General features: G+C 39.5%; 1 annotated feature.

Annotated features, from left to right (window-relative positions):
* Positions 12143-13342: an enhancer, noted in NCBI's record as "P300/CBP strongly-dependent group 1 enhancer chr10:119739304-119740503 (GRCh37/hg19 assembly coordinates)". NCBI's record gives its function as "activates an origin of replication core promoter dependent on BRD2, BRD4, P300/CBP, MED14 and CDK7 cofactors, with strong dependence on P300/CBP, by STARR-seq in HCT116 cells {active_cell/tissue: HCT116}" and the evidence as "EXISTENCE:reporter gene assay evidence [ECO:0000049][PMID:35650434]".

Here is a 13662-nt window from a genome sequence, read left to right on the forward strand (position 1 = left end):
CCGCCCCAATTTCCATGCCAAAGTGCATTAATTTATATTATATATTTGAGTATATATTTGTATATTAAATATGTTTAAATGAATATATAAAATTTTAACATTATGTTTATATACTTATATATGAACTATTTAAGTATAAATATATAAAATGTTAAATATTATATTTATATACTTATAAACTATGTAAGTATAAATAATACATAATTTATATGTAATTATATCATACATTTATAAATATATAGATAATTATATAACTATACATTTATGTACTTATATAAAATATTACACAAAAATATATTAATACTCATTAACATATGAAGGTGACAACAACAGCACATCATAACCCGAGGGGGTCAAGGTTAAAAGAACTGACCTCTGTCAAGAATAAAGACCTGGAAACTTTTAAATGATATATCCTTATATATGTGTGTGTATATGTATATACATATACACACACATATATGCATCTTTATTATTATTCGATGACCTCATTCTTTCAGGTAGTAATATAGGCTGATTATGAAGCCCCTGCACATAAATCCACATTTTAAAATGAACTTAATTCTTCTAAAGGATATACTGTTCCTTTCTACCCCCCCATCAGTATAATTTATCATAATGGTCCTCATCTGTTTGCTTCTACGTTTTTTCCTAATTGGCTCCAGGGGCTGCGTATTGAGCTCTGGGGAATGACAAGGGATCCTTAGGGATAGGTTGGTAGGTACCAAAAGGGAGAGGACACCTGGGACCCAGGACCTGGGCCTGACCCTCAGGCTTCCAATGACCTAGGCGAGCACCAGGATTACCTCTGACAGGGGCTGTGGCTGGACCCTGGGGACACGCCTTGGGCTGTCAGAGAGCTGAGAGTTCCTCAGCTGCCCTTGGCCACCCGGCTCAGTGATTTATGACTTCCACAGGAACCAAGCCCTCCCCACCCCAACCTGGAGATAATCCCACCTCCTCCCCATGGTTTGGGTGGATTTTTTAAGTGTCTGAAATCCTGCTATGATAAGCAGGGGCCAGCCTGACACCAGAGCACACACAGAATGGCCCGCGCTGTGTCCTCACCAACAGAGAGCGACACCTGCCCCGCCAGCTGTTGCTTCACTTTGGGTCATTCAGAAGGCCGGAAAACATGCTGATTCACCCAGACGGGTGACTGTGCAGAGCTCTGGACACTCTTGGCAATTTCCAACCTGTTCTTCAGTTTTGGGGTCCAAAGGATAATTGCAGCCTTCAGCTAGTTATAGCTGGACCCCTGAGCCTGCCAGAGTTGTTTTTGGTTTTGTTTTGGTTTGGTTTTGGTTTTAAGCACAGTCACCCGTTTCCATGTGTTTCTTCCTCCATTTGTTCACAAATACTTATGAAGCAACAACCAGGTCCCAGGCATTATTACCTATGAGAAGAAATGATAAGGCCAGATTGGAATCTCACCTTCACCACCTACTGACAGTGACCTTGAACAAACAACTCAATCTCTATGAGCCTCAATTTGCCCAGTGGGCAAACTGGGGTCAATATTCTCTAATGTCAAAGGGTAGCTGTGATGATTACATGAGATAAAATACTACATGTAAAGTGCCTGACAATTTGCCTAATACAGTTGAGGCCCTCAGTAAATGTGTGTTCCCTTCCTTCTGCTCCCAGAAATTGGTCAAAGTATTGTGCCTGTTTGTCACTAAGTAAAGAGATATCACATCCCGCAACTCAGGGAATGTGCCTGTTTGTCACCAAGGATGAAGATGTCATACTGCACAACTCAGGAAATGCAGGACCTTCCACAGCTCCCACCTGGGCCAAAAGTAACTCTTCCTTTAAAGGTAGGATGGCAGCAAAGGTTGCAGAGGAGGACCTAGGGATATTGTGTGTCTGTGTGTCAACTGTGTTGTTCCCCTCAACTTCTTGTCATGAAACTGTCCCTTACTGCTTTATAAATGCCCAAGCTTCCATTACAGAATACGGATTTAAATTATCTGTTACATTTGAACATGCATAGAATGAACATAACCCAAATTCCTCTCCTAGAGAAACATTTGCATGTGTGGACCAGGAGACATGGGCAAAATGTTCACATGCAGCATTGCTTCTGGAGCCAAAATGAGAAACAGCTGAAATCCTAAGGGCAGTATAATTGATAAGTTGTGGTATAGTTCTTCAAAGGAGTACTATACAGCAATGAAAAGTAATGACATGTATCCATATATGCAAATCTTAGAAACATAAAATTGAGTAAATAAAAGCTTGTCACAGAGTAATACAGAGGGTATGGCTTCATTTATATACAGGTCAAAACATGCAAAATAATGCATATTCCCACTGCTTCAATTGACTAGCCTAAGAAATGCATATATGTATATTTTAGGGAATGTATACATTAGTGGTTAAATTGTAAGAAAAGTGAAGGGATACCAGTCACAACATTCAGGGTAGTGATTGTCTCTGAAGGAAGAAGAGGGGCACAGGAGGTGAGAGGGAGGGAGAGTTTTATATGAATTGGTAACATACATTCTTGAGCTGGGTGGTGAGTTCACAGGTGTTAATTTCATAATTATTGTTTAATCTGTATACATGTTATATATACCCATGTGTATGCTATGTTTCATTATAAAATATTTTAATGTTCCCCATTATATGTGATTCTTGGGAACCCAGAGTTTGTTAGGAGAACAAATACGTACATAAAGACATACAATAATATTTATTACAGCATAATTTGCTGAGTTAAAAAAGGAAGCAACCAAAATATTCCAGTTTAAAAATGGTTAAAAATTTATGGTGCAATAATTTCTTATAAAGAGTCCTTGGCTACCAGTTTTAAGAATAGGAGGCTAGAAAACTAATGAATCTCTCAGCTTTCAAAACTCAGGGGACAAACTGGACTAGAAATTAAGAAGGAGGATTCTTCTTGCTGTTTGGGCTATTTATTGGTCAGAAATATTAATTTAAATGTGAGTTCTCTTTCCATCTCTAGCCACATGAGCACAAAGCAAGTAACACTATGCAAATGTTTTCTACAAATGAGTTATTGCTGGCAGAGACTTTGACAAGGCTTTCTTTCTTGAATAACTTACATAAGCAAAAGAACTAGACTTTGAATCAAAAGTCTTAAGCAAGAAATATGGTGGCTGCCTCTCCCACCAGGATGGAGGTTGATGGGAGTGCCGGAAGCCCTAAGCAAGAAATCAGATCAGGGAAGAGCATGGTGCTAGGGCTCTCCTTCCTGGTCTTCCACCCACAGCACCTTCCCTGGGCACTAGAAAGTCAAATAGAACACCACATCAGCCTTGGTACGCTCACAGCTACCTGGCCTTCAAGTGATCATCAAGGTTAAGATGGGAACCCAGGCTGCACAGGCATTCTGCACTTGGACTCCCTTTGGGTCAGGCATCTTTACATCACTGAGCAATGACAGCCAAGTCTTTCTTCCAACTGCCCAGCTCACCTTTGCATTTCCCCCTCCCCCTGCAGATTGGCAGAGGACCCTAGGATAACCTGGTCTGGCAGCCACCTGCTGGCCAACAGGTCTAAGATGAACAATCCTCCACAGTCTCCATCACTCTCTTTCTGAGATCTAAGGATGGAGCAGGCTCTTCTGGGTGGTTTGAACCATCTCTGGCTCAGAGAACATCAAGTCCAGCCTCCGGCCACAGCAACTGTGAGCAGCCAGCCCATGCTTTGTATGGGAGTGCAGCAAGGCAAGGCTCCCCGAGAGCATCCTACTGTAGAAAACACGATACTGAGTCATCCCAGATCCAAGCATCCAAGTATTCACTTACTCATTCACTCAGCAAATACTCAGTGAGACCCTACTGTGTGCCAAGCACTGCTCTGGTATACGCTGGTTGCTGATATACAAGGTGAATGAGACCAGTACAGTCCCTGGGAAGATGAGCAAGCCAGTAGATAAAAATTACACTGTCTGTGTCCAAGAGCTTGGAAGGAAACGAACAGGAAGTTGAAATAGAGAACAATCAAATTGGGGAACAACATACTTTAAGTAGGGGGCTGGAGAGACCCCTCCACAGTGCCCTGTAAGTTAGGAAGGATAAAAACAAGCAAGCATGGAGAAGAAAAAGAGGAGAAGGTCTTCCCGGAATTAGAAAGAGAAGATCAAATACCCGGAGATGGAAATGTATGTGCGTAAAGTATCTGGATAAACTGAGCCAAGCCCATTGAGGTGGAGGGGAGTGGGCAAGGCTATTCAGTTCCCCTTCCACAAAGCACAGATCTGCTAGCCCAGCATGTGAGTCTAAAGACTATGTCAAGGCCAGGCACAGTGGCTCACACTTATAATCTCCACACTTTGGGAGGCGGAGGTGGCAGGGTCACTTGAGCCCAGGAATTCAAGACCAGCCTGGGCAATAAAGTGAGACCCCATTTCTGCCAAAAAAAATTTTTTTTAATTAGCTGGGCATGGTGGCATGTGCCTGTGGCCCCAGCTATTTGGGAGGCTGAGGCAGGAGGATTTCCTGAGCCCAGGAGGTCGAGGCTGCAGTGAGCCATGATCATGCCACTCACTCCAGCCTGGGTGACAGAGTGAGACCCTGTCTCTAAAAAAGTAAAAGTAAAATAAAATAAAGACCATGACAGCCAGTCTTCTCCTCCTGTTCTTGACAAATGACATGGGCTCACATCAAAGGACCAGTTCTCTGTTCAGCCTCACAACAGACACACTGGCCAGTCCAGTCCAGGCTCTGCTGCAGGGACTGCAGGCCCTGGGACTTGCTGATTCCCATTTTGATGAAATTAGCCTCTTTCAGGGCCCTGGTAGCATACTCTCAGTCCAAGGACACCCTATTTCTGTCCAGAAATGCTATTTGGGGAGTAGGCGTTCAGGGAAAGCGGTTAGATTGGCCAGTCCCAAAGGTCAGGAGTCCCCCAAGTCCCTACTTACTCATAATAAATTCCTGCTATGGAAACTGAGAAGTCAGAAAGCATGCAGTCATCTCAGGCCATCCAGAAGGCCTTGCTTTGCGGAAAACTCGGTGCTCCATCCATCTGGCCAGCTGGAGATTAGATAATTCCAAGAATATCCAGCTGTGAACAGAGGGAAATGAAGGGATCTGTCTGGCTCACAGTGCAGATGGAGAAAGTAATGCTTTTCCAATCAGACTCAGACCCTTCTGCTCTCTGGTTCTGTGGCTAAAATCCAACGGTCAACTATGGATGAAGGGCATGCCAGCCTGAAGTTCTTGATGAGGAGAAGCTAATAAATGTTAACAGCAGCTTTGATTTCTGTTATATTTCATACACACACACACACACACACACACATATATATGTTTAAAATCATACCATAAAATAAAACATAGCAGAAACTTTTAAACCACCTGTAATTTCACAACCCTGGCATATTTTCTTCTGTATACAGTTACTTTTAGCCTTTGCCCTGAAACTTCTCTACATAGTTGTAGTCATGTCTGCACATACTTGTGTTTTTAAATTTTATATTATGTCATAAACACTTTTCCATATTCTTCCCAGCCTTTATAGTTAACGTTTTAATAACGGCATTATTATACTACCGAGTAACTGTACTATAATTTATCTACGCAATACTTTTCTTTTGAACATTTATATGACTTTAGTACTTTACTATGGTGGACAATGAGGCAATTGATATTTTTATGTATATAACTTTTTTCTTTCACATATTGTTGGAAATTTGATATTATTAAATTTTTAATACATTTGTTACCATCTCTCTCCTTTTCAACTGTTACTTCTTTTCTTTTCTTTTTTTTTTTTTCTTATGGCTCCAGCTCAAAGGACCATTACTTTTCTTAGAGTCACTTCTAAATGCAAGTGATTTAGTGTGAAGCTGCTTCCTGGTGAAACACCATCTCCCATGATGACCTGTGGTGCTAAATAGACAGATGGTGCTTCAGCAAATTTCCCATGCAGGCTCATCTGAGATGTGCTTTTGCCAGGTGCAATAGAATTTGGAGTGAAGGTCTTCTGAAGTCTCAGTTCTTGCAACAACCTTTCTCTCTTATATCTAGCTTCTCTCCTTAGGCAGCTTCATAGAATGAAAATGTAACCCTCCCTTGGGAGAGAGAGAACAGGAAGGGGCTTGTCCTTAGACAACAACCGTCTGTCACCTGGAAAGGAGCTCTGACCTAGAGAAGCGTGGTGTGACATGCAAGTTGAAGTCCCTCCAGGAAGCATGTTGTGGCCTATGGTTCTGCACACTCTGGTGTGTTAGTCTGACCCACCTGCTATGGCAAGATACCATAGATTGGTGGCTTATAAACAACAGAAATTCATTTCTTACAGTCCAAGATCAAGTCCAAGTCCAAGATCAAGATGCTGGCAGATTCATGTCTGGTGAGGGCCTAATTTCTGGCTCACAGACAGCAACTTCTTGCTATGTCCTCACATGGTGGAAGGGGCAAGTGAGCTTTTGGGGGGTCTCTTTTATGAGGGCATTCATCCCATCATGAGCTAATCACTTCCCAAATGCACCACCTCCTAACTCCCCCATCTTGGGGAGTAGGATTTCAACATATGAATTGGAGGTCGGGAGGGGACGCAAACATTCAGACCACAGCACCTGGGACAGGCTGCACTCCCTTTTTCTTAATCTGCTCAGTTGGAGGCCGTCACCCCTATGCAGGCTCAGATAATGATACCCAAACTTTATGACTTTTAAATCCACATTTAAGGAACCCTTAACATTTGCAAACAAAGACACTGAGACCAGAAGTGTTCTCTTAATGGGGTTGCTTAGAGAATTTTTCTTGCAGATTTTTATTTTCTTTTGCAGGAAAGTTTTAAAATAGAGATAGGGAGGAGGTTTGGGGGGCAGAAAGCACCATTCTCAAAAGTTTCACCTTTGACAAGTCTGTTAAGATTATCTAATACTATTTCTAGCTCTCCTAAGCAGAGCAGGTACGAAGTTACAGCTGTGGCAATTTTGATAAATCTAAAGAATGACATTTCTGAGAATGACTTTTCTCAATCTAGCCATAACCATCAATGAAGAATTCATGTTACTATAAAATAAAAAATGCCAAGGAATTCACTTCTTTATTGTCAAATTGAGATTTGATGGAAGAAACAGCCAGGCAATTAATTATATTTAGAAACCATGCATCTTGACTTTGAAGTTAAATGTATTTCCCTGTGACTTCATATTGGGAACAGCTTTTATTAAATTCAATTACTTTTCCCTCTGGTCTGCTCCATAAAGGTGCACTCATAGAGAAGGATGGCTCTTAGCAGAAATATTTCCACTGGAAAAGATGGTGATCAAGTGGGTTCAGTCACTAAAAAGAGTTAGTCCTTTATAAGCAAAATGCCAGATGAGAGGGTGTGTTTCTGGTGGTCTTCAAGTTTCACCACTTTCTCATCAGCCAGTAAAACAAAGAAGAAGTAAAAATAGAAGGAGAAGGGTCTCTTTATTTTCCATTTTGCCTTCTTCTTGCCTGTATCCCTACTTAAGACCCTTACTCTTTCCCAGAGGGGTCATCTCAACTCATCTACAGCCCCTTGGATCATGTGATTATTCTCAAGATGCTCCCAGAGTTATCACTTGTTGGCATTGGAGAAAGCCCTCCACAAATGGCCTGGAAAGATAATTGGAATGAAAGCATTAATTCTAGATCCATCTCTGTCTCTAGCCATATGAGACTTGATCATTTCTGCTTCATGAACCTCATTTTCTTCATCTGACCAGCAGGCAGACATAACAACTCTTGACCTCCCTATTCCATATAGCTGTTATGAGGATCAAACAAGATGGTGAGATAATAAACAAGTGATAATTGCAAATCATTGGTAGGATTTTTAATAATAATTTATGAACTATCAAATGTCTGTCATTTAAAATAAACTGTCACTTTGTTTAATAATTTTCTTGTCCAAGTGTTCTAAGTTGTATCTTATTATAAGTAGAGAATGATTATTCTCTCCCTAAGCTACACAAGCACAGTAAAAATCTAACATATTATTTGGTTAGAAAGTGACTGCAAAAGTTGACTACATCATCGGCCAATCAGGTGGCAGCTCTCAAGGAAGGCATTTTCTAACCAAAAGTATAATGTATTTCTGTAATAAAATTACCAATTTTACAAGTCCCGAGCATTGCTTTAAAATTGGTTGTATTAGGATCAAAAGCTTCGGTCCCACCTGGGACCAATAAGTGGTCTGTTTCTTTCAGAAATATCACTTACTTCAGCCCCAGTCCTATAGTTCTGGCTTAGTGAAATTAAGAAGCATGAAAAACACAAGGCAAGCTCAAAGGCCTCATAGAAGAATTACATAGATAAAATTCAATATTACAGACAGGTAATTTTCCTCCAAGCCTGCCACAGAAAAGAGCCAAGAGTATAACTGCAATCTTCCTGACTTCCACCAGTCAGGCACTTTTAAAGCTGGATTCCAAAGCTCAGCACCAAAATCAACAAAAAGTGGCATGCCTCTGCAGCTTGCTTAAATACCACTGAATTTATTTGTTCAGATTCAACATTGTCCTCTCTCAGTTTTCATCATCGATACTGTGGATGTGAGTTCCAGGTAGCCTTCGTTTCATCACATGTATCACTACCACCACTTAGAACATGCCTAATGACAGAAGATCAGAAAACTGCCACATTAGGACTTCAAGTGAATGGAACACATCCTCTGGCACTTTCTTTGGGTATACTGGGCTCGGCAATTCAGTGAGCTTTAAAAGAAACGAAAAACATAGACAACCAGATGTGTCAGTATCATAGCACAATGATTAAATCACTGAAGAGTTCTGCATACTGAAACAAGAAATCAAAGTGAGGCATAGGAGGTGGTTCTGAGCTTACAGTATTCAGAGTATAGTATGACCCACATGGAAGATGTAACACAATGTGGTACATCTTCATTGTCAGATGATTATATTGATTGTCTATTATGAGTCTATCTCAGATCCTGGAAAAGGACATAGTAAATCTGCTGGTTTGTAAGCTGCACTAGGAAAAGGGCTGTATTTGTCTTGTTAACTTATTTGTAGAAAGAAGCATAAAGTCAATATGTACTAAATGCATAGTAGACGCTCTATAAATAAAACAATGAACAAACTATTGGTGTTTAAGGTAACAAAGTACAAGTGTTTATTAGTAACTTTCTCCAAACTCTAATGATGAAAAAGTACTAAAAAAAAAAAAAAAGGCAAACTCGCATTGCTCCTAGAAACTAAGAAGGGCACCATCACACTTCACCCCTAATCACCTAAAGATGTACAAAATTACTGGAATTCAATGTTTGTTTACAATTTTCTTTAAGATAAAATGTATAGGCAGCGAGATGAAGAAATCTTTAATGTACCATTCAGTGACAAGTATATGCACCTATATAACCCAAACCCCTAACAAGATAGAAAACATTATCAACTAGAACAATTCCGTCATGACTCCTAGCCTCCTAAATCAATCTCCCTCTGACATTCCCAGAGACAACTACTATTCTAATTGTTTCTATCATAAATTAATTTTCTCTATTCCAGAATTTCATATAAATGAAATTTTACAATATGTACTATTTTGTACAAGGCTTCTTTTACTCCACATATCATTTTTGAGATTCAATTATCTAGCTGCTTCTTTTAGTAGTTTGTTTCTTTTCTTTGCTTAGTAGTAGTTTATTTGTATAAAGATTGCAGAATACAAGGTTAATATACAAAAGCCATTTGCTTTTCTATATATCACCAAAAACACGGTATCATTTACATGAGCAAATTAGTACCCCCAAAAATTAAATACTTAGGGATAAATCTTACAAAGTACAAGATTTATTTGAGAAAAACTACAAAACTGTGATGAAAAAAATCAGAAAAATTAAATAAATGGAGAGATAGTCCATGTTCATGAATAAGAAGACACATTATTGTCAAGATGACCAATCTTCCAAACTTTATCTACAGATTAAGTGCAACTCCAGTCAAAATCCCAGCAAGTTATTTTGTGGATGTAAACAAACTGATTCTAAAGTTTACATGGAGAGGCAAAAGACCCAGTATAGTCAACACAATACTGAAGGAGAACAACAAAGTTGGAGCACTACCTCACTCCAGGACTTACTATAAAGCTACAATAATCATGACCGTGTGACTGGTGAAATAATACACAAATAGATCAATGGAACAGAATAGAGAGTGCAGAAACAGACCCACACGAATACTGACAACTGATCTTTGACAAAGAAGAAAAGGCAATACAATAGAGCAGTAATAACCTCTTCAAGAAATGGAGCTGGAACAATGAGACATACAAATGCAAAAAACAAAAAATAATTTAGACATAGACCTTTTACCTTTCACAAAAATTAACTCAAAATGGATCATAGACCAAAATGTAAAGCATAAAACTATTACATTCCTGGAAGGTAACACAGGAGAAAGTCTAGATGACCCTGGGTATGGTGATGCCTTTTTAGATACAATGTCAAAAGCACAATCTATAAAAGCAATCATTGATAAGCTGAACTTCATTAAAATTAAAAATGTATGCTCCATGAGAGACACTGTCAAGAGAATGAGAAGAAAAGTCACAGTCTAGGAAAAATATCTGCAAAAGATTTATCTGATAAGGGATTGTTATACAAAATATAAAAAGAACTCTTAAAACTCAACAATAAGAAAATGAGCAAGTTGATTAAAAATGGGCAAAAGATCTGAACATCTCACCAAAGAAGATATACAATGGCAAATATACATATGAAAAGATGTTCAACATAGTATGTTATTGGAGAATTGTAAACCAAAACTATGCCATACTACATTATACACCTATTAGAATGTCCAAAATCCAGAACACTGACACCAAATGCTGATGAGGATGTGGAACAACAGAAAGTTTCATTCACTGCTGGTGAGAGTCCAAAATGGGAGTCTCTGGAACACAGCTTGGCAGTTTCTTGCAAAACAAAATACACCCTTACCCTATGATCCAGCAATTGTCCTCCTAGGTACTTACCCAAATGAGTTGAAAACTTCTGTTAACAAAAAAACCTGTGCTTAAATATTTATAGCAGCTTTGTTCATAATTGCCAAAACTTGGAACCAACCAAGCTGTCTATCCATGGGTGAGTGTGAATAAACTGTGGTATATCCATACAACAGAATACTATTCAGTGCTAAAAAAAAAAAAGTCTATCAAGCCACGAACAGATATGAAGGAACCTTAAATGCATACTACTAAATGAAAGAAGCCAATCTGAAAAGGTGAGAAGGCCATATACCTTATGATTTCAACTATATGATATTCTGGAAAAGGAAAAATAATGGAGACAATAAAAAGATTAGTGGTTGCTAGCGGTTGGGGGAGGGAAGAATGAGTAGGCAGGGCACCGAGGAGTTTTAGGCCAGTGAAATTATTCTGTATGATACTGTAATAGTGGATACATGTCATTATATATACATTTGTCAAAATCCACAGAACATACACCACCAAGAGTTAACCCTACTGTAAATAAACTGTGGATTTTCAGTAATAATATGTGTCTATGTAGGTTCACTAATTGTTACATATGACTGCACTGGTGCAGAATGTTGATAGTGGGGTAGGCAATGCATGCATAGAGGTGGAGGGGTATACGGGAAACTTCTGTATCTTCTCAATTTTGCTGTGAACATACAACTGCTCCAAAATAGTTTATTTTAATAAAGTCTACTTTATTTTTCATTTTTTATTTTTTTGAGATGGAGTCTCACTCTGTCACCCAGGCTGGAGTGCAGTGACACAATCTCAGCTCACTGCAAGCTCCACCTCCCTGGTTCATGCCATTCTCCTGCCTCAGCCTCCCGAGTAGCTGGGACTACAGGTGCCCACCACCACGCCCAGCTAATTTTTCGTATTTTTAGTAGAGACGGGGTTTCACTCTGTTAGCCAGGACGGTCTAGACCTCCTGACCTCGTGATCTGCCTGCCTCAGCCTCCCAAAGTTCTGGGATTACAGGCGTGAGCCACCGCGCCCGGCCAGTAAAGTCTACTTCAAAAATAAATCTGGCCACAGTCCTGAAGGGAACGCTGGCTAGGTATTTATAGCAGGCTTCTTTCCTTTAGTAGGACTTTGCCTCCTAAGCATCATGAGTCTTTGAGAGACGTTATTTTGCTTTTAGAAGCTCCCAGCCTACCCTGTCACCTTCTCACACCACATCAGAATTTAGTTAACGGTGGAAAAACCGGCTGTGTGCTTGAATTCTCCATGCAAATGCCTGGTTTATCTTTCCCCAGGATATTCCCTCTACCTGGGCTGAGACCAGGCCTTAGCCCATGCTCAGCCTTAGCAAATGCACCTAGGGAAGAAAATGATGGAAAATAATTACCTCACGCTGAGCCATTCTCCTGGGTAGGTAATGGTGTCTCTGCCTTTCTTGAAGTGGTATCGCTTGCCTTCTGTGTTGTTATACAATACTGTTCAATTATTTAAAATCCTTCTGAATTATATTACAAAAGTCACATAGTATTATAACATCAGTAACTACTTATTACGATCAATCAGCTGATAATTCTATTTAAAGTGCATAATTTTTCACAATTCTTTTAGTTGGAATGTGAGCAAAGTTATTTGAAGACCACTGGTCAAGCTAACATAATCACACTTCAGAGAAATACACTTTTTCAATGATTTAGAGAAAAGGTGGTGAGGTGGTAGAAAATTTGACAACATAGTCTTAGACAAGCAAAGGACTGAATGACCTAACCAACAGTATTCTCATCCATAGAGAATTTACAGGATTACATTATTGTATGTGTAATGATGAATCAGAACAGAGATATGCAATGTCATCTAACAAGGACAAAACGCCTCCTATGCCTTCATTAGTTGACTGTAACCTAACTAAATCTATTACCGTACATGAATTATGAGTCAATCAAAAAAAGAAGTTGTGCAGTCATAAAAACCAGGACAAAAGGAGGTCTACAGAAGTCAAGGTAGTTCTGTTTGCCAAATACTTTCTGGCTCTCTCCTTTCAAACACATAGTAAAACTGCATTTTCTGGACTTCCTGTGGTTGAAGTAGAGCTATTTAGTTAAATAGCCAATTTAATTTGGCCAATAAGTTGTGAATGGAAATAACGTGTTGCTTCTAGGCTGGAAGATTTAACTAGATTTTCTAGAGACCTCTTTTCTTCTGCCACAGCAACCAATAACATTCGAAAGGGTGACATCTCCATCAGCCAGGATCCTTGAGTAAGAACATCTCAGAGAAGAGCCCCAAACCAACCTATGGTGGACAGACAGCATAAGGATGAAATAAGCTTTGGTTGTTTTAAGCTCCTGAGATTTGGAGGGTAGTTTGTCACTGCAGCATAACCTTGCTGATACTGATTAATGTGGCATCCATACTCTCTAGGACAGTGCTCCCTAAGGACTTCATCAGTTCTTAGGACTCCAACTGGTTTCAGGAATGAAAACTGGATATCTCAGAATATCTTAATGTCATAAAACATTCAACTCATATAAATAACTCCCCTTTCTCTGATCCCATGTACATCAAGCAATCTTCTCATTACAATTGGGCATTGCATGTGCAATGACTCAAGAGAAAAATACTGGTTTTTGTGAGACTGTCTATGGTAAGATATATCTTTGCTCAGGGGCTGAAAAATCAGATTTCTGAGTCTGGAAGAAGCCAGGTTGCAAGGAGGAAAAAAAGCTCACTCAAAGTGGCTTAAACAATAAAGGAA

The sequence above is a fragment of the Homo sapiens genome, chromosome 10 (assembly GCF_000001405.40).
Source record: "Homo sapiens chromosome 10, GRCh38.p14 Primary Assembly".
NCBI lineage: Eukaryota > Metazoa > Chordata > Mammalia > Primates > Hominidae > Homo > Homo sapiens.